The sequence below is a fragment of the Homo sapiens genome, chromosome 6 (assembly GCF_000001405.40).
Source record: "Homo sapiens chromosome 6, GRCh38.p14 Primary Assembly".
NCBI classification, from domain to species: Eukaryota; Metazoa; Chordata; class Mammalia; order Primates; family Hominidae; genus Homo; species Homo sapiens.
In genome coordinates this window covers 43,900,294-43,920,399 of record NC_000006.12, presented here as the reverse complement: position 1 = coordinate 43,920,399, position 20,106 = coordinate 43,900,294, and the positions used below count along the sequence as shown (strand labels likewise).

The window sequence follows — 20,106 nt, the reverse complement described above, 5'->3', positions numbered from 1 at the left end:
AAAGTGCTGGGATTACAGGCGTGAGCCACTGTGCCCGACCTTGTTTTTGTTTTGTAATTTACTTATTTATATCAACAGCTGAAAAAATGGAAAAGGCCAAAGAGCAAATCTTTGTCCCTGCCCTTTCCCAGTCCCACTGTTCCCTCCCTTCCAGCAGCTTCTGCAGTGGTGGATCCAGCCTGAACTATCCTGTCTCCCACGAACTATCCCGTCTCCAGAAACATTCATTTGTCAGAGCATTCTTGCCTGCTCTTCTGGAATTCTAGTTACAAGCACTTTTAAAATCAGTCAAATTCATACCTCATCAAATCAGAATAAAACATTTTTTTACCCAATTTCATTCATCGCATTATTTATTCAACTTGATTTCAAATACTGTTTTTTAAAACACGGGAAAAAACTTTATTGACTAGAGTACAGTGCTTATGCACAGTTCTTTTTGCCTTTAGTCTTACAGACTCTTCTCATTTCCCAAACTACTTACATTAGCTTCTTTTCCCCCTTGTCCCTTCAGTGAGGCTGTTTTATCCTTTTGTAATACACTTAGATTAGATTCTTTTGTCACATTCTGCATTCCCTCTTGCAATCTCCCAACATCCTAAATGACTTTTTAAAATTTGCATACACTAAGGTCCCCTTCGCCCTGTAACACTGGGGGGTTTTGACAGTTGCGGCATTATATATTCACCATTGCAATATCATACAGAATAGTTTCGCCATCCAAAGAAATTCTTTTGCACGTCACTTATTCAACCTTCCACCAACCCTGAATCCTTAGCAATCACTGATCTTTTTACCGTCTCCATAGTTTTACCTTTTCCAGAATGTGATATAAATGGAATCATATAGTATGTAACTTTTTCAGACTGGCTTCTTCCACCTAGCAATATGCATTTAAGATTCACTCGTGTCTTTATGTGGCTAGATAGCACATTCTTTTTTATTGCTAAATAGTATAACATTATGTGGATGTACTACAGTTTGTTTATCTATTCACCTATTAAAGTACATCTTGGTTACTTTTGGTAATTACATCTTTGGCCATTCTTTTTTCTTTTCTTTTTCTTTTTTTTTTTTTTTTGAGACAAGTTCTTGCTCTGTTGCCCAGGCTGGAGTGTAGTGGCGTGAACATGGCTCACTGCAGCCTTGACCTCTTGTGCTCAAGCAATCCTCCCACCTCAGCCTCTCAAGTAGCTGGGACCACAGGCACATGCCACTCTGCCTGGTTGATTTTTTTTTTTTTTTTTATCTTTTGTAGAGACTGAGTCTCGCCATGTTGCCCAGGCTGGTCTCAAACTCCTGGACTCAAGTGATCCTCCTACCTTGGCCTCCCAAAGTGCTGGGATTACAGACATGAGCCACCATGCCCAGCCCATCTTTGGCAACTCTGAATAAATTGTTGTTATAAATATACACATGCTGGTTTTAGTAAGGACATGAGTTTTAAAATCAATTGAGTAAATACGTAGGAGCACAATTGTTAGATCCTATGGGAAGACTATACTTAGTTTTCTGAGAAACTATCAAACTGTCTTCCAAAGTGGCTGTATTGTTTTGCAATGAATGAGAGTTCATTCCCAAGAGTTCTGTTGCTCTGCATCCTCATCAGCAATTGATACTGTCAATTTTTTGGATTTTAACCATTCTAATAGTCTTTTTACAGGAGAAGGAAATGGAATTTTGAGAGGGGAAGTGGTAGAGTGGCAAAGACATTTAGTGCTCACCAAATACCCACATGCGCCCCACACTCCTCAGGCCCCTCACCATGAGGTAGGACCCTAGACCAGTCATGGTCAATAGGCTGTGAGTGAAAATGCTATCTGGCACTTCAGGGTCAAAGCATTTAAGATCTTTGCATAGCCCTCCTGCATAGCCCTCCTGCTCTTTTTTGCCTCTGCAGCAGCAACCAGAAAGCTCCGTGTTGAAATTTGGTACATCCAACATCCAGGGTCCCTAAGCAGCTATATGGAACAGAGCCCCTGCCAGTCTGCTTTAGCCAAATAGCATGAGCAAGAAAAAACCTCCGTGGTGTTAGCCCACAGATTTCCAGGATACTTCGTCACTGCAGCACAGCACGGCCTATCCTGACTCACACAGCCAGCCACTGGCTCATGCCTTTGGCATTATGCTGACATCATCAGAACCCCCGAACCTGGTGGTATACTGGCCCAGAAAAAAAGCTGCTTAAAGGAGGGAGATAGTTTAATAAACTAATGTTTACCAAGACCTACCACGTGCCTGGCCCCACTCAGGCTCTGTACCTACATTGTCTCATGTACTCCTCAGGCCTGTCTGGAGGAGACCTGCTACTGCCAAACAGCCTGCTCTAGCCTCTCCCCAGGCCTTATCTCCCCAGAGGCCATGTGGGATTGACATGCAACTGGGCTAACTTTCCGCCAAATAGTGCAATCCTTACAGGATACTAAAGGCAGATCTCCCCACCCAAGCCAAGCCCTCAAAAATTCCTGTATGTCCCCATGTTGCCCAAAAGGCTTTACCCAACTAAGAGGAAGCAAGTCTCAGAAGTTCTGTTCTATCTTCTGCTGCATCTTTTCTTCACACTCAGGCTTTGCTTTCTGCTAACCCCATCCTTTCTAGATTCCCAGTTGTCCAGAAGACACATCCCCATAGCGTTTAATAGGATTCTTCTTGGCCGGACGCCCGACCCTCTACTACGCTAAGCCTCAGAGCAGGCCACAGGCTGTGCTGCAACATCCACACTCTCCCTATTTCCCAATCACAGTGTGGGGGGCTGCCCTCAGGGCAGGGAGCCAGCCTTTCTCCCATGAAGTGAAGTGATGTGATGTTCACAGGGCTCAACATCAAGACCTTGACCTCATTAGCACAATGTTCTGGTCAGCGGGCTTGGGGAAATGTGATGATGTTAATTACGTGCTGATTTATTTAATCCCTGGTCTTGTGAAATACAGCGCACTTGCCTTCCCCTCCTTCCCCCAGGGACTATAAACTGCTGGGGACCGGGCAGGGGGTGGGGCAGGAGGGCGAGGGCCAGTGGACTGGACTCTGAGGCCACACAAACCTGGATTCAATTCCTAGCTACTGTGACCCTGGGTTACCTTCCTGAACCTAGGATTGGGTAAGGATTATGGGCTTGGCACTGTGCCTGGCGCAGAGGAAGCTCTTGGTAAATTGTAGCCATTGGTATCATTATTGTTAATTATTATTTTAGTCTACTAACTGAAGGATGATTTTCCATTGCCCCATCTCTATTCTTGAGAGGCAGTAGGCTGTAGACCAGTGTTGACTAATAGAACATTCTGCAATGATAGAGACATTTAATATCTGTATTGTCCAATGTGACAGTCTCTAGCCACATGTGGCTGCTGAGCACTTGAAAGGTGGCTAGTGCAGTGAGGAACTGAACTGTAACTGCATTGAACTTTAATGAATTCAAAGTTAAATAGTCACATGCTTTTAGCGGCCACTGTATTGAATGGCACAGGTGAAGAAGGTAAGAGTACAGGCTCTGGGATAGATCCTGCTCCTGCTACTTCCTTGCTGTAAGACCTTGGGCCTGTTACTGGCTGCTCTGAGCCACAGCTTCCTTATCTGTAAAATGCAGATATGATAGCACCAATTTCCCAGGGTGGTTTCGAGGATTAAACATGTTAATGGATATAAAGTGCCCATTTTGGAAGTGTTCAAGGAAACTTAGCTATTATGATTACTCTCTTTGGCACTAATGCTGGCCTGGAATCCATGGGCATGACTGTGTCTGCATTCTGACGGCAGGATCTTGAGTTCAGGGCCTCTGTTGGCTCCTATTCTGAATCTCTCCTGGGCCCAGCCCAGGGAGAAAACCCATGTCCATTGGACAGGGAGTGCAGGAGACTCAGAAAGCTTTGAGGATACAGATAGGAGACGCCCCAGTTGATAGCCCAGCCCACGCTGCCCCTCTTCCCACAGCGGTGGTGGGACGGTTGGCCTTCTCGAGAAGAGGAGGGCTGTGAGGGGCAGGAAAAGGCAAACCTGAGAGAGGAGCTTTGATGGGCTCAGGGTCAAGAGGCTTTCTCTGTTCCAATCTCCTGAGTCAGGGAGCTGTAGGAGCCAAACTGTGTCCCTTCAACCCCCTCTCCAAACACTGGGGTTTAATTGATCCACCTGCCAAACTCAGCCAGAAGCCAGAGGTCAGAAGGCTCTACCAGAAAACAGCAGGCTTCTAAGAAATGGAAGATCTGGGTTCAACACCAGGGCACTGGAGCCGAGTCTTTGGAATTCCCCTTTCCTCTTCACCCAGATGAGGAACTGAACTCCTTGATTTCAGGGAATGGATGCAAGCTTGTGTCCTTTCCACTCAGTTTCTTCCACAACTAAAGGTCTGAGGGCAACAAGGGTGTGAGGGCCATGTGGGGATTTCCAAACCCCAGGACTTCTTGGTGTCCAAGAGGCATGACCTCAACTTGTCCCAAAGAACAAAACAGCATCAGAAGCTAAGGACCCTCTGAAGGTCTCCAAAGTCCCCACCTTCTTTCTGTCTCTCTCCTCACCTGTCCTGGACTCAGTAGGAAATGGTAGGGTCTGAAGGCAAGGCCCAAGTCTCCTCTGTGAGGCGGCCCAAGAGAACACCTGTCTCTCCCAGCAAAACCTCAGAGCCCCCTCCTTCCCAAGTGTTTGAGACTCTGGCTTCGCAGCCAGGAGCAACCCACCCTGCAGAGCCACAGAGAAATGCCACAGTCCCATGGGACACAGAAACAGGACGTGGGGCAGGGTGGGGGAACCATCTTTGCTCCACTCTTTCCCTGATATCAGGGTAAAAGACAGCAGGAGGTGTGAGCTCGGATGCCAGGAGGGCATCCTGATGGTGGGACATATGAACCGGTGGGTTGTAGGAGCCAGTTATATTAGACTTTCTGGTCTGGCTGATGGTCAGGGTTCTGGGAGAGGGGGAAGTGTGGGATTTAAAAGACACAGGATACATGGCTGATATGATCTCTCAGCTGGACTTGGAGTCAGACCGATTTAGGTTTAATCCCAGCCAGGCCGCTGACTGGCTGGGTGACCTTGGGTTAATTATTTAATGATACTTCTATTCAGCTTCCTCATCTGTAAAATGAGGGTGAAGAGATTCACCACCAAGGTTTGGAGGAGTGGGGGAGGCAAATGGCCCTAGCCCAGTGCCTGGCATGTACTGGGGAATAGAGAGGTGGCTGGGGGTTTAGGGTGCACAGGAAAGGGAAGACCCGCAGGAAGGCAGGCTGAGAGTGGGGAGCTAAGTCCCCTAGTGGGAAAGACTGATCTCCACATCAGGAGATGATCTGTGGTCCTGCTCCAGACCAAGAAGTGGGCCCTCCTCCATGTGCCCAGGCTGACAGTCTCCCGCTCGCCTGCCCTGCTCCTGCACCCCACTTTAGGGCAATCCTGGGGGCACTGCCAGAGAACTGGGAGGCCTCCCTGGAGATCTAGGCTCTTCTGGCAGATGCCCATCCCCCTTTGTCCTGGGGCCTCTCGTTTGCCAATCCCAGGAAGCCCCTTGCTCAGAGGGAACTGATTTCCCCTAGACAGCCTTGCTCCTCCCGCTGCAGGACTCTCAGGGAGCCCTAAGAAATACCATGGGCTGTGGGCAGCCGCCGAGCCTGCTTCAGATCCAGCTCTGGTGAGTGTTGGGGCTGGGAAGCCACTGGTGATCTGGTGGTGTCAGCTCGTAGGCAGGTTTGCTCAGAGACCCACTTACTACTGGACTCAAGTGTAACTTCAAAGACCATCTGGACCTTGTGGGGGTGCAGGAAGGAAGCTGGCTTTGCTCGACTGGCACCATGGCATCAGCTGGCCCTGTTAAGTGGCCTTCGAGGACCTCCCTCCCCTGTCCCCCCATGATGAGTGAGAAGGACTCTGCCCACTGGGCTGTAAAGAGCCTCACAAAGTCAGCTCAGGCAAGACTCCCTACTTGCCGAGGAGGAAAACAGAGAGATGGGGAGGGCTTGGGATTCCGGAGCTTATGGACCCAGTGGGTGTTTCAATTCAATTCCAGGCCTCTTGGATGCAAAGGGGCAAAGCTCTTGTTGTGAGTTGAGACACAGCCCCTACCCTCTTAGACTGGGGATTTTCTGGGAGCAGGGCTGTGTTCCCTCATCAGATTGGCCCTGGGGGTGCAGGTAGGGGTAGAGGGTACCTCAGTTAGCTGTGACTTACTCCCACAATCAGAGTAAGACTGCAGTGTCTGCAGAAGGAGGAAATCTCTAACTCGTGATGCACAGGATCTGAGAGTGATTCATTACCAATGAGATAATATGGGGAGAGGAGGGGACATTTTTAACTTTCCTGAGAAGCTGTGGACCCCTGAGAAGATCTCTTGGTTTTCCTCCCTATCTTCTTCATCTCCTCACCACTGCTAGTCCTAACAGAGAGAGGAGAGCCAGGGATGGGGTGGCATCAGAGTAGGGCTGGGAGTGTAGCTGAGGTGTGGGGAGTCGGCCTGCTCCAGGGACTCCCTCCTGTTCTTTCAATCCCCTGTTCTGCATCCCTCAGCTGGCCCCTCTGGCCTCTCTGCAGCCTTGTCTTGCCCAGTGAGACACTAGCTGGGTACCTCCCTCCCTCCAGCTGCCCACTGCCAGGTACAGAGGATAAAAATACCCAGTGGAAAAACACGTGGCTCCAGGTCAAACATTAACCTGCAGGGCCTGGTGTGCCAGCCACGGTGTCCCTTCCCAGGCCACCTGGCCACCAACATGTGGCTGGTAGCAGTGTCCTCTCCCTCTGACCATCACTGAAATTCTCAGACACTTACCCACATGCTTCCTGCAGGAATTCTTCAGAAAGCAAACAGGCACCCACCTGAGGACCCCAGCCCCAAGGACCTAGGCCAGCCAGCCCTTCCAGACTGCCAGCTGCAGGGATGCTCCTCTCTCCTGCTCAGCCTGGGGTCTTCCCTGAAGCTCTCTGGGGTTCCAAGTCACCCCAGCTCCCAGCTGAAAACAGCCCCTCTGACCCTCTGGGGGAGGAGCCCAGCTCAGAAATCCTTAGTTCCTCAGGTTTCCCTTCTACTGCAAAGCTGAGCTCACTTAGAGCCAGAAGGACGGAAGACAGAGGGAAGGGAGCGGGGAGAGGAGGGGGTCTGGCCAATGCTGGCATCCACCTCTTAGCACGCTGGGAGGACACCTGGAGGAGGTACTGGGGAGAGGCGGGCTGGTGAGAAGTTCCAGCCCTGCCCCTAACTTGCCCTACATGCCCAGCTCTGTTGTTCTCTGGGCTGTGAGTCCAGACAGGTGGATGTTCCTCCCGTGGGCCTGGATGGCTCTACGCACACACCTCAGGCCCACCAGGTACTACCAGGCAGGGCCTGCTGGAGGCCACCCCCACAGCTGCCTGAGGCACAGAGCTGGGACAGCCTGACCCTTGGCCCCGACTCATCACACACTTCTGGGGTCCAATGCCCAGTGGTTCTAGGAAATGCCTACACTGCAGCTTTGAGCCTGGGCCAAATGCCCCATTTTCTGTCAAGGAAGCTTGACGGTGCGCGGTGAAGAGAGTACAGTCCATCTGGCCACAGCATGCTGCCCATCATTCTGGCCGCCTGAGGGTCGATGGGCCCTGCATGGAGCATGGAGCCTAGGAGGGGTTTTGGGGGCCCTGGGGTGTCTCTGGGGTCAGGAAGCACTTTGATATCTATGGCAGCATCACAGAGGCATGGCAGAGAGTATGTAAATATTAACTTTGAAGGGGAAGCAGAGGGTTTGAGCAGAGGTCAGCAAGGGCCTCGCAAGAGCGAGTCCTGCCCTGGGTCAAGAGTCCAGCACTGGACAGAGAGTTAAGAGGCCTGGAGCCTGACCTCTGAGAAACAGTGAGGTTCCCCCAGGCACAGGGATTCTCACCCAGGACTGTTCCCCAGGTTCCTTGAGACATTTCCCATCAGGGCGATGGTCACCATGTCAGGATAGGGCTCTGGGGACAGCTCCTGAAGGTCTGGCCCTGATGCTGAGCAAATCGGGGCACACAAGAAGCGCCATGGGCCTTGGAAGCCTTTGGTTTGGAGCCAAGTTCTGCCATTTAAGAAGCCACAGAGTCTTGCATGAGTTACTAAGCCTCTCTGAACCTCAGTTAACTTATCTATAAAATGGGGACAAGAGTGTCCAGCTCTCAAGGTGTTCCAAAGAACGCCTTGTTAAGTTAGCTGATCTTTATGTCGTGCCTGGAACAGAGAATTTATTATACAGGTGCTTGCTCTGGTCGTTTTTTTCTCTCCATTCTGGGCCTCAGTTTCCTCATCTGTAAAATGGGAATAAGGAGGCCCAGCTCACAGGACTAAATGAACTGGTCTTTACGTTGTTATTGCACATGGACCTTGTTCTGTAACTATTAGCATGGTTATCATCTGCTCTCCTCAGTTCCCTCACCTGGATTTGGTCATCTCTTAGGACCTCAGCTGGAGATCAGGGCCCTCAGCACCTGCTCCCTCAACACAAGCACACACCCTGCTCTTCCCCCTCCCTGCCTAGGCCAGAACTGCATCATATCTCCCTCATTATCATCCTGACATTTGCTTTGGCTGTGAAGCAATTACCTGCTGAATTGAACAAAGGCGGAGGAGGGAGGCAGATCATAGGATGGCCAGAAGTCGGGCTTTGGAGAGAGCCACAGGCAGAGGTGTTAGTCCATGCCCTGACCTCAGATCCCAGAAACAAAGCTGATGATGCAGGGAGGTGGGTGTGAGGTGGGGGTCAAGATTCAATTCCCCTAGCTGAGGAGCCGGAGCTGGGGGAGGGGGGATGTTTGCATCTGGATGCCATCTGGATGAGGGCAAACACCGAGGGGCCACTCAAGGAAATGCCTGAGCGGCAAATCAAATCCTGCAAAGAAATCACCAAGCCCTTGAAACGAAAGTCTGAAGGAGAGGAATGTGTCTGGGGAGTGTTGGGGGTGGTGGGGAGACCAAGCTGGGAGGAAGGCCAAGGAGGGAAAAGAAGGGACAATCCAGGGGGCCTCTGCAGGGGGCTCCCTAAACTGGTGGTCCCTCACCCCCAGCAGATGACGAAGCTAAGAACCTCTGGGCTGGAAGTGATGCAGGCAGGGTCCTCAAACGTGAAGAGGGTCTGCATTACCTCTGAATTCTGGGGCTGGCTCCCTGTACCCCCCACCACTTGTCAGACCCCATTCCCTAGAGTGCTGCCGATGTAGCTCCTACTGTGTGCACAGCCCCGGGCTGAGATTCCCAGATGCTCAGAGGTGTGGAGCAGCAGGCTGCGGAGGCTTTGAAATCCCTTCTCTCCTTAAACTGGTGTTTACAAACATTAACTTTTTTGGTCAAGCCATTTTCTCATCTCTTAAAGGGCATAATCTGGCAGCTTTTGGGGCCTCCCTGGGAGTGTAGCCAGTGGTTAACCCTAGGTGGGACTCCAGAGAAAGGGAGGGGTTTGGGGGTCTCTCAAGCCTCCATGGGCTGGGGACTACTTACTTGAATTTTTAGGCAACCTCCCTTGGCTCACCCTGCTGATGTAATGAGGACAGGCTGACCTGGTCCTGTACCGGCCCTGTTCAAGGAAGGCACTTTATGATGCAACTCCAAGGAAACAGTAAAGAAACACACTCACTCCAAGTCACCAGACACATACAGAACCTGGAGAGGCCAATGGCCTTCTTCCATCACTCCCCATATAAACCAGGCCAGGCAGGCATACGTGATTGTGTGCACACACATGCAGATGTGGGCATGTTTCTTCGTGCACATAATGTGGATGTGTTTGTGCAAGTTTTTGCATCTGTGGATGTGCACATATGCTTGCATATGTTTGCACTGTAGGTTTTTGTATATTTGTGCATTCATTTGTATGTTTTGTGCAAATGTGTTTGCATGCTTTCATATGTGAAAAATATGTGCATGTGCTTTGTGCAGCAGTGTTTGTGTATGTTATGCAAATAGGATGTGTATATTTATGTGTATATAGGTATATATTTACATATTTGTGTGTGTTTTCATCTGTACAATATGTGTATGTCTCTGTGTGAATATATAGTATACACATGTTTGTGTTTGTAATAAGGTGTTTGTATAATATGCTTCTGTGTTAATATATGTTTGTGGGTTTAATACATCTGTGTATAACTGGTATGTGTGTATATTATGTGAGTATGTATGTGTACCTGCGTTATGTGTATATGAAATGCAATTGTGTCTATATGTATGTGTATATAATGTGTCCATGTGAAAATGCATGCACATAATTAGCATATGTAAATAATGTGTATATATGTTTGTATATTTGTGTATGTAATGTGCATGGTGTGTATATGCCTGTGCCTGTAGGAAGAAGTTCAATGCATTAGGAACATCCCTGGACTTGCAGGTGAAGGAGGGAGTTCAAACCCCAGTTCCCCAGTCATGAGGCCTTACGGCACTGATTTGGCTTTCCTGAGCCTCTGCAGGCCCAGCTGTACCTGAACCAGTACTGTTCCCTGTCCTGCCTCCTACCCACAAGGCCCCGGGGTGGAGAGCATGAGGACAAGTAGACAGTCCAGGGCAGGAACGTCCTGGCAAGCACAAGAGGGCCTGCTGGATCCAGTCCTGCTTCCAGGGCTGCAGAGGAGAAGGACACAGGGCTAGCTTACAGCCTAGGCGCAGAGAAAAGACTGAACCCGGAAAATAGTGAGAGGGTGAGAAAGGGCCCAGAGGAGACTGATATGAAGATGTGCTCCCAGAGGCCACGTGAGGCCAGGCAGGCACAATCCCTACAGTGGGAAGAGCCTGGGTTCAAATCTCAGCTCTGCCAAATACTTGCTCTGGGATTGCGAGCAAGTCACTTAACCTCTCTGTGCCTCAGTTTATTCATCTATAAAGTGAGATCATAATAGTGTACACCTCAGAGGGTATTATAAGGACTAAAATGTGTTACTACAATGAAAGGACTTAGAATAGTGCCTGGCACCCAGGAAGTGCTCAAAAGGCATTAGTGGTTATTATCAGAAACTGAGAAGCCATTGAATTCGCTCTAAGTGCATGACAATTAAATGAATAATAAAAAAGACCATCAGCAACTTCAGGGAGGAAAACAAGTTGTTCAAAGGAAAAACACAACAATCATAGATTACTAAATGGCTCAACCCTGGATGTCAATGCTTTTACGAGGTCGTGTTCCATCCCCATCTAACCAGTATGACATAGGTGTTATGGGTGGGGGCTGGGATGCATAACAGTTGTGGGCAGGGGCAGCATGGGATAGAGCCATTCCAGAAGAATCTGTCAGTGAAAGAGAATGTGGTCCCTCTGCTCAGTGAGGATGCTTTGTTTGTAAGGAACTTCATAGATCTATGTGACTCTTTATGTGCATGAACAACTATGATAAAGGCTGAAAAAAAACAAAACTAAATCCAGTTATCTCTTTTGAGATGGAGTTTCACTCTGTCACCCAGGCTGGAGTGCAGTGCTCGATGTCGGCTCACTGCAACCTCTGCCTCCCAGGTTCAAGGGATTTTCTTGCCTCAGCCTCCTGAGTAGCTGGGATTACAGGAGCGCACAACCATGCCTGGCTAATTTTTGTATTTTTAGTAGAAACGAGGTTTCACCATGTTGGCCAGGCTCGTCTCAAACTCCTGACCTCAGGTGATCCGCTCGCCTCGGCCTTCCAAAGTGCTGGGATTACAGGTTTGAGCCACCGCGCCCGGCCCTAAATCCATTTAAATACATCAAGTAGAAAACTGTGCCTTGTGGTCAAAGTGTAGCTGAGCTTTAAGTATTGAACAGGGCGATGTTGGGTATCTGTCTCAGCAGAAGGTGAGACACACCAGCGTAGGGCCTCCCGGAATGAGGGTGCCTGGGGAGTGGTACTTCTCCCACCCCGCCCCAACCCAGGAAAGACTGTAAGCTAGAGCAAGGGAGTGTCCCTGTCACTCAGCTCTGGTTTTTCAAAGAAGATGGACTAGGGATGCTAGTACTTTAACTGCCCTGACCACCTCTCCTCTCACTCTGCACTGGCTACACTGTCATCAATTTAAATGAATGAGTAAGACATAATAATATTAACAAAAACATATATGCAGTTTGAGATGTACTGTTAGAGCCTTTTAAATGTTTTAGCTCATTTAATCCTCATACCAATCTTTACAATAGTCTGTTCTGATTTCCATATTAAAGATGGGGAAATGAGGCTCAGAGAGGTTAAGTAACACTCCCAAGGCCACACAGCAGAGCCAGGGCTGGGACTCAGGCAGTCTGACCCTAGACCACTGACAATTAACCACTAATTATTAAAGAAGGTCCAAAGAAGCAGCTCAGAGAGGGGGTATAAGGAAGGAAAGGGTAGATGGGCAGCACCTCGGAAGCAGCTAGTAGCCAGGCCACACTAGATGACCTTGATGGACATGGCCGGGGAGAGGCTGGGTTCCCATGGGAGGCAGGGATTATCAGGTCAGGCATCCCTGCCAGGGCCCTAGCAACGGAGTCCTGTTTGGACAGCCTGTGCAGAGCCAGATGGTTGGCAGAGCAAGGCAGGGCCACAGCCTAGAGACCTTCAGAATCTGGGCTGCTGACTTCAGCCCCCAAATCAGTCCAGAAACCCAGGCCTAGTCCCCACTGCCCAGTCAGGCCCTCGGCCATCCCCTCTGTGTACCTGCCTGTCTGCACTTCTTTCAGTCACTCAGCTACTCTACAAATGCTCACTGAGGGCTCAAGGTGTGGAAAGTGGGTTCTAGATCCAGAAAGCCGGAGTTTGAATCCTGTCACCTCCTAGTTGTGTGACTCTGCATGAGTTAGCCAGCTGCCCTCTGCCTCAGTTTCCTCTCTACAAATGTTCGTAATAGCATATGGCTCCCATAGAGTTGTGAGAATTAAATGAGTTAATAACACTAACATGCTTAGTATAGTGCCTTGCCCAACACATGTGCCCAATTAATCTAGCTACTGTTATGTCCCTCTGTTAATATCTTTGCAGATACTAAGAATAGCAGTGTTGCACTTGAGCCTCACAGACCTAATCTCTAGTAATGATAATAAGAGGAGTAAGAGCTTGTCTCTCAGCCCTTACGGGATTTTCAGTCTATTAAGGGGAACTTGGACAGATAAATACCAACTAAACTAAGACACAGCTGAGTTAATTGTGCCTGACAGTGTGGCACCTAACCATGGTCCATGGAAAACTAGCCCATTTGTAATGAGCTGGGGAGAGCCAGAGGGATTGCTCTCGCTCCTCCAGCTTCCATCAGGGAGAGCAAAGCATGACTCCCCTAAAGACGGGGTGGGGTGTCAGAAGGGGGCTCTGAGGGAGGCTGTGGGAGGAGGCACCGAGAAGCAGGGGTGGTAGCTCTTCCAGCTGGCAAGCCCTGCTGGAGCCGAGGCCTGCAGACACACCATGCATGCTGTTCTTCCACCTGTCCTGTATCATTCAGGCTGGGTCTAGACATTCTCAAATCCACCTGCAGTGAGAACCCTTGCCCACCAACTGGCCAAGGAGACTTTCTAGCCCTTAAAGTGATGTTCTCTCCTGGATATGAATGACGTGCCTTCTGATTGCAATTGGCTTCCTTCCTATGGTCCCACTTCTCGGCAGGGAGGGGCATGTTGACAGTATCGATGGGCACAGGCCTGGCCTGGCTGGCAGGCTGGCCGCTCCTTCATAATGAATACCTAGGCAGTCTAGGGTCTTCCTCAGGCCATGATCCCTCAGGCAGTGTGAAGAAGGAGGGCCTGCCCCCCGCCTCCCACACACTGCCAAATGCACCAGTAGATCCTCACCAGCAGCCTGAGGCAAAAAGATGTGGCTCACACTCTGTCTGCCAGGCTTCCTTCTGCCCCATCCCCATGCTGTGATCCATTCTATGAAGATTTATTGAGCATCTGTTTTGCACCAGGCACCATCCTCAACCATCCTGTGAGGTAAGAGTCACCCCCATCTTATAGATGAGGAAACTGGGGCTTTGAGAGGTTAGAAAGATTAGAGCTAGAAAGATGCAGAGTAGGGGCCGGGCGCAGTGGTTCTCGCCTGTAATCCCAGCACTTTGGGAGGCCGAGGCGGGCAGATCACCTGAGGTCAAGGAGATCGAGACCAGCCTGGCCAATATGGTGAATCCCCATCTCTACTAAAAATACAAAAATTAGCCAGGCAGGGTGGCATGCACCTGCAATCCCAGCTACTCAGGAGGCTGTGCAGGAGAATTGCTTGAACCCAGGAGGTGGAGGTTGCAGTAAGCTGAGATAGCACCACTGCACTCCAGCCTGGGCAACAAAGTGAGACTCAGTCTCAAAGGAAAAAAAAAAAGAAAGAAAGATGCAGAATAAGGATTGGAAGCCAAGTTGTCTAACTCCAGAGCCTAGAACATTGATTATGACCCCTTATTAGTCTCCCCACTGAGATTCTAATGACAGTCATGATCATCATGAATATTCACCGTGCACATCCTAAGTGCCAGGCATTACTCAAAGAGCTTCACATGTCTCAACTCCTTCCATCCTCACATCACAGAGATTAAAAACTTGCCCTAGGTCAAGCAGTTAAGTGTAGCAAGCTGGGCTTTGAACCCAGGGAGTCGCTCCAGAATTTCTCATGCTCACCACCACTCTACTGACTCCCTGATAGACACTAACATCTCAACACAGAGAAATGCTGTGGAGACATATTATGATGTAAAAAAAGCCAAGGAGCAGAACAATGTGGTTAGGAGGTCACCATTGATATGAGAGAAAAATAATCACACAGACCTGGCTGACCTTGGGGGCTGAGGGCTCTGGGGCTTGAGGGTAGGGGCTGAGGAGTGGCAGATCCAGGCATGTGGTGGCAAGGCCTGAGCATGGGGATGGCCTCTAAGCTGTTGCAGGTCCACAGGACACAGAGGCTGAGTCCTTGGGTAGTGCTGGCTCATTGGCAGGTATGGGGCTCAAGAAATCTGGCTGGAAAAAGTCCCTGCGGAAACATTGAAGAGATGGCCCCATAGCCACCTAAGGCAGCCGTCAGTCCCTCCCAGAGCTGGCAGCACAGAGCTCTGGACCAGCCAGGGGCTAGGGGCAGAGGGGAAATGACAGGTGAGATGAGGCTGGGTCCTGGCCACTAGCAGCAGGGGACAGAGGGCACCAGTGCCCACCTAGGATGTTTATTGGGTCCCAAAACCCAACTCTGGTGATTTGGATTTATAAGGAGATCTGGCAGTGGAGTCCTGGAGCTATATTCTTTTTTGATTTTTAAATTATTTTCTAATAATTTTGAAAAGGTGAAAAGAAAGAGAGAGAGAAGGAAGGAAGAGAGAGAAAGAAGGAAGGAGGAAGGGAAGGAGGGGAGGAAAAAAGGAAGGAAGGAAAAAGAAAGAAAGAAAGAAAGAAAGAAAGAAAGAAAGAAAGAAAGAAAGAAAGAAAGAAAGAAAAGAAAGAAAGAAAGAAGAGAAAGAAAGAAAAGAAAGAAAGAAGAGAAAGAAGAGAAAGAAAGAAAGAAGAAAGAAAAAGGAAGAAAGAAAAAGAAAGAAAGAAAGAGAAAGAGACGGAAAGAAAGAAAGAGAGGGAGGGAGGAAGGAAGGAAGGAAGGAAGGAAGGAAGGAAGGAAGGAAGGAAAGGAAGGAATCCAATAAGTACTGGAGAATATAGTAAAAAGCAAGTCTCCCTCCCACTCCTGTGTCCCCTCCCGTAGACCATCCCCTGAGGCCAGCGGTGGCCAGTGACTCACCTTCTTCCTGGAGATGTTCTAGGCATATACGAGCACCATATTGTTGTGCAGAGAGCTGCCTTATTCTTTCTCTGGCTTTGTTGTAAAGAAGATGTATTTTTAAAAAGCTTCTCAGCAAATTTGGATAAAAAGCTAATTTGGGGAAGAACTGACTGAGCAAACTTCTTTGGAGCTGACAACTCTATCTAGATTCAAATTTTGACTGTGACATTTATGAGTTTAGTGACCTTGGACAAGATCCATGACCTCTTCAACCTCCAAGCCTTAGTTTTCCTATCCATAGAGGGAGGATAACCGTGGTAGAGTTTTAATGATGATTAGAAATAATTTATGGCCAGTGCCTGGTGCATACTAGGAGATAATAATAATGGGTGGGGGGGGGGTGTGATACATTTACATGCTATGCAGTGACATAAGAATAATCACAAAGAAAGTTTCAGCAAACACAAAGGGTTCCAAGGTGGGCCGTGCTGCAAGATGAATCCTTTCAGCTGAGGTGGAGGAAGAATCTGTAGAAGAACAAGAAAGAAGGAGATGTCCTTCTGGGCAGCGAGCCCCCATCCCCAAAGTCTGTAAGTGACACCAGAGGACACTCTGTCAGGGATTCTGCACAAGAGATGTGGCGGGCCAGATGAGATGCCTTCCAGGCACTTCCCAGCTCTGGGAGACTGTGCATAGCCATACACTCAGAATGCTGAGAGGTAACTTTCCGGGTAGAACTGACAAGCCTGAGGTGTACCTGTTTGTAGGATAATCTACTGTTGGTCTGGATGGCAGATGTCACTAAGTCAAGGGCTGGCAGGGCCAGTGTTGCCAGGAAACCGCAGCCCCAGGCTGACCGGGGCCACTGCCATGAGTGCTTCAATCAGGCCCAGTGCTCTGCCTTCAATCAGGCCCAGGCTCCCTGTTTGTTCGCAGGAGCCTGGTGGCTCCTGACTGATAGGGACTTGGGCTTCCCGTGCATGCTGTCTGGTCTTGGGCACACAGGAGCTAAAGAACTCTTTGTAGAATTACCTTCTGAATCACAAAACCTAGTTGGAAAAAAAATAATTCCATGAAATTCAGGAAAAGAGTTGGGAGAGGGGTTGAGTAAGAAGTGAGTTCAAATCCCAGCTCTGCAATTTCCTAGAGGTACAACTTCAGGGGCACTATGTAATTTTCCCTCCTTAGAGCCTTAGTTGCTTTTTTTCTTTCCCTTTTGAGACAGGGTCTTGCTCTGTCATCCAGGCTGGAATGCAGTGGCATGATCAGAGAGCTCACTGCAGCCTGGACCTTCTGGGCTCAAGTGATTCTCCCGTCTCAGCCTCCCAAGTAGCTGGGACTACAGGCATGCGGCACTGTGCCCAGCTAATTATTTTAATTTTATTTTTTGTAGAGACAAGGTCTCACTATGTTGCCCACACTGGTCTCAAACTTCTGGGCCCAAACGATCCCCCTGCCTCGGCCTCCCAAAGTGCTGGGATTACAGGTGTGAGCCACCACACCGGACACCTTCATTTCCTTGTTTGTGAAATAGGGCCTTCCTTCAAGAATTAAGTCATATAATGTCTGTTAAGAAACTAGCATAGGGCCTGCTACACAACAATAATAATCTAAATTTGTCATTTTTTTCCCTTCAAAATAGACAGCTGTTGGGATTCAATTGATTATATTTGCAAATGAATTTTATATGTACTGCTTTTGAGTAGTCACTGAAGTAGAAAAGCTTTATCAAGGAGATTTTTTGGTAGGAAGTGAGTTCTGAATGGGGGTTGAAAAGGACTCTAATTAATTCAGTAATTTTTTTATTGAACAACTACCATATGCCAGGCATGATCTTAGGCTCTGGAAATGAAGCAGTGTACAAAGTGGACCAGAATTCCTGCCCTCATGGAGTGTACCTTTTAGTGAACTGTCTTAGAACCAAAGCTGCCACTTTGGGAGGGGGACTTATCCAGACTCGAACAGCCCCTTTCCTACTCCTTCTCTGTTGATAGGATCAGACCAGGCTGCTTCCCCACCCCAGGAAAGAATAGCCTGGCTAGTACCATAGGTCACACTTCACTGATCCTAGGGCACCCAATCTGGGTCTGACCTGCAAGACTCACATGGAGTGAGGGGCTGGCAAGGGGCTCCAGGTCCTGCAGAACACTCATCCCACTCTGGTATCTGTCCACACCCAGAAAGTCTCCCTCCAGATGCTAGCCAGGGGCCCTTGGCCTTCTCTGGGTAAGTAATGGGGTAGGTGGAAAGGGTGAACCCTATTTCCCACAGTTCTGGCCTGTTTGGTAGCCCGGTCTCCAGAGTCCATAAGCTGTGTCTATGTTACAGCCTGATAGGTTCTTCTTGCCCACTGCCCTGAAAATACCAATGCACTGAGAACAGCAGGTGCTGCAGCAAAGAAGAATTGGATGATCCCATGGCCAGCCAAGCAGGACGGAAGAAATTTCTCAAATCCACTTCCCTGAGATTCAGAGGGTAGGGTCTTTAAGGGTTCTTTGGTGGGCAGGGGGCTGGGAAACTGAAACAATTCATTGGCTGGGGATGAAATCACAGTGTCTAAACTGTCTTCACACAGCTCAGTCAGTTCCCGGGAGGCAGTCTCAGGACCAGCTGACTTCTCTCGGTCTGTGGAAATGCTACATCTGAAAACCATATCAAAGACCCAGCGACTTCTGGCTGATAGGGGCTGGGACTCCCTGCCTGGCCTTGGGCACACACAGGAGCTAAACAACTCTTTGTGGAATTACCTTTTAGTTTCTTTATTCTTTAGGTTTCACAATAGCGATGTTATCTATAGAAGTAGTTGGGGAAGTTATAAATCTTGAAACCTCTAGTTATGTGACTCTGGGGCAGTCAACAAGCTAAGTGATATTAGCTTAGCTAACTTAGCTTAGCTTAAGTGACTAAGCTAAGTTATGGAAAAACAAGCTAAGTGATGGTTCAAGCCCCTACCATAATTCTAACTTCTTGACCTTTCATTAGCCTTTACAAATGTGGTTTCAATTTTTGAACAGGTAGGGGATCAGTTCACGGAAAGGACTATTATGGCCTCCACACAAGAATGAGCTAAAGCTGGTAGAAAACCTGGTAGAAACAAGATGGAGTCGGTTACATCAGATTTCCCTTACTAAAATTTTTGCAAAGGCAGTTTCATCTATTCCTCCCTCAGACTGGGGCTCCCTCGGGGCAGGGCCATGTCTCCTCCCTCAGACGGTCTCCCCTTCCTCTCGGCTCCTCTTGCAGGCCCTGGCCTCTGGGGAGAAGGGATGTTCTTACCAATTTCTGGAGTAACGGCCAGCCAATTAAGGTCTGAGCTGGCTGGAACCCAGCTCTCCTGATGCTTGGCCAGGAGTCTGTCCCCTACCCGGAACATCCTTAAACTCCTAATTATTGCCCTTGATCTATGAGCTCCGTGGTCAGCTCTGCCCCCTGTTTGTTCTCTGCTCCCTGTTTGTTCGCAAAAGTTTTGGGAGGCCTGGCCACCAAGCCACTGTCTCCCTAACTGAGGAAGAGGGCAGTCCGAGGGCTGATACTCCATATCTCACCCCTCCCTGGGAGCTATTAGGCAAGTGAGGTGTTTCCTTTTCTAAAGCCCTCGCTGTTTAGCTACAGGATTAGTTCTAGTCCATTTACTCACCAAGTTTGCTGGCCAAACACTGAGACCAGAAAAGCACATCTCCCTTGCATAATAAATGTTTAATAATGACAGTTGGATTTGGACAGAAAATGCCCTGGCTGGCAGGCCCGAAGCAACATTAGCTCCAGAGAGCGTTTAAAGTTCAGCTCCATTGCCCCCATCTACCTACACACCTGCTTCCAGGCACTGGAACATGCAGGCAGCCTTCCTACCTGCCTCCTTCCCACCTACCCACCCTGTGATGGCAGAGTCAGCGGGAGTTACCCCTTCCCCACCTGTCCCAGGGTCTACTGGGTTTCCGTGTGTGGCCTGTTTCCTTCCTCAACATCGGAGCTCCCCCAGGGCAGGGCTGTGTGTCCCCCTCAGACTGGGGCTCCCTGAGGACAGGGCTGTGTCTCCCCCAACACCCACTCCAGCCTGGGATCTCCCTTCTTCAGGCCTCCCTGCTCAGCTCAGCACAGAGCTTGTTCCATCAGAGGTTGTGGTGTGCCCAGGCTCCAGGATCATTTGTAAACAAAGGCCAGATTCTGTGTCGGTGCTGGCAGATGTTAAAGATAACCCCTCTCAGCCCTTTAGGAATTAGTCTAAAATACATGATTGTATTTCAGGAGCCTTAAGGGTGTTTCTGAAACCTTGGGGCCCAAGACAGTTATAACATATGTCCATTTTAGACTTTGGAAAATAGGGCGCTATAATTGGAAAAGCTAGTGCAGTGCTAAGTACAGGGAGCCGGTCTCTTTACATCTCAAATACCAGGTATTTAGGTGGCTTTCTTGGAACCTGGCATTAGGGACACGTGTGAACGGGCCAGGCTCATTTCTGAGGAGTGAGTGGGAGCGGCCAGTGAGGGTGCTCAGGTGGGGTGGGCAGCACCATCTCTGAGCCCTGAAGCTA

The 20,106-nt window shown here is 49.2% G+C and overlaps 2 long non-coding RNA genes across 2 annotated transcripts in view, besides 3 other annotated features; both read right to left on the bottom strand.

Moving 5' to 3' along the window:
- Positions 1-20,106, bottom strand: part of LINC01512 (long intergenic non-protein coding RNA 1512) — a 47,180-nt gene that overhangs the window by 17,808 nt on the left and 9,266 nt on the right. The gene's annotated exons all lie outside the window — the stretch shown is intronic.
- Positions 6,453-7,242: an enhancer, noted in NCBI's record as "H3K27ac-H3K4me1 hESC enhancer chr6:43880895-43881684 (GRCh37/hg19 assembly coordinates)". NCBI's record gives its function as "activates a minimal SCP1, AML or CMV promoter by ChIP-STARR-seq in primed H9 embryonic stem cells {active_cell/tissue: H9 hESC(primed)}" and the evidence as "EXISTENCE:reporter gene assay evidence [ECO:0000049][PMID:30033119]".
- Positions 8,316-8,878: an enhancer, noted in NCBI's record as "H3K27ac-H3K4me1 hESC enhancer chr6:43879259-43879821 (GRCh37/hg19 assembly coordinates)". NCBI's record gives its function as "activates a minimal SCP1, AML or CMV promoter by ChIP-STARR-seq in naive H9 embryonic stem cells {active_cell/tissue: H9 hESC(naive)}" and the evidence as "EXISTENCE:reporter gene assay evidence [ECO:0000049][PMID:30033119]".
- Positions 8,879-9,443: an enhancer, noted in NCBI's record as "H3K27ac-H3K4me1 hESC enhancer chr6:43878694-43879258 (GRCh37/hg19 assembly coordinates)". NCBI's record gives its function as "activates a minimal SCP1, AML or CMV promoter by ChIP-STARR-seq in primed H9 embryonic stem cells {active_cell/tissue: H9 hESC(primed)}" and the evidence as "EXISTENCE:reporter gene assay evidence [ECO:0000049][PMID:30033119]".
- LOC105375070 (uncharacterized) overlaps positions 15,885-20,106 on the bottom strand; it is a 107,357-nt gene continuing 103,135 nt past the window's right edge. Inside the window, exon 3 of the long non-coding RNA XR_007059588.1 lies at positions 15,885-16,102. This is a non-coding gene — a long non-coding RNA (uncharacterized LOC105375070). The remainder of the gene's footprint in view (positions 16,103-20,106) is intronic.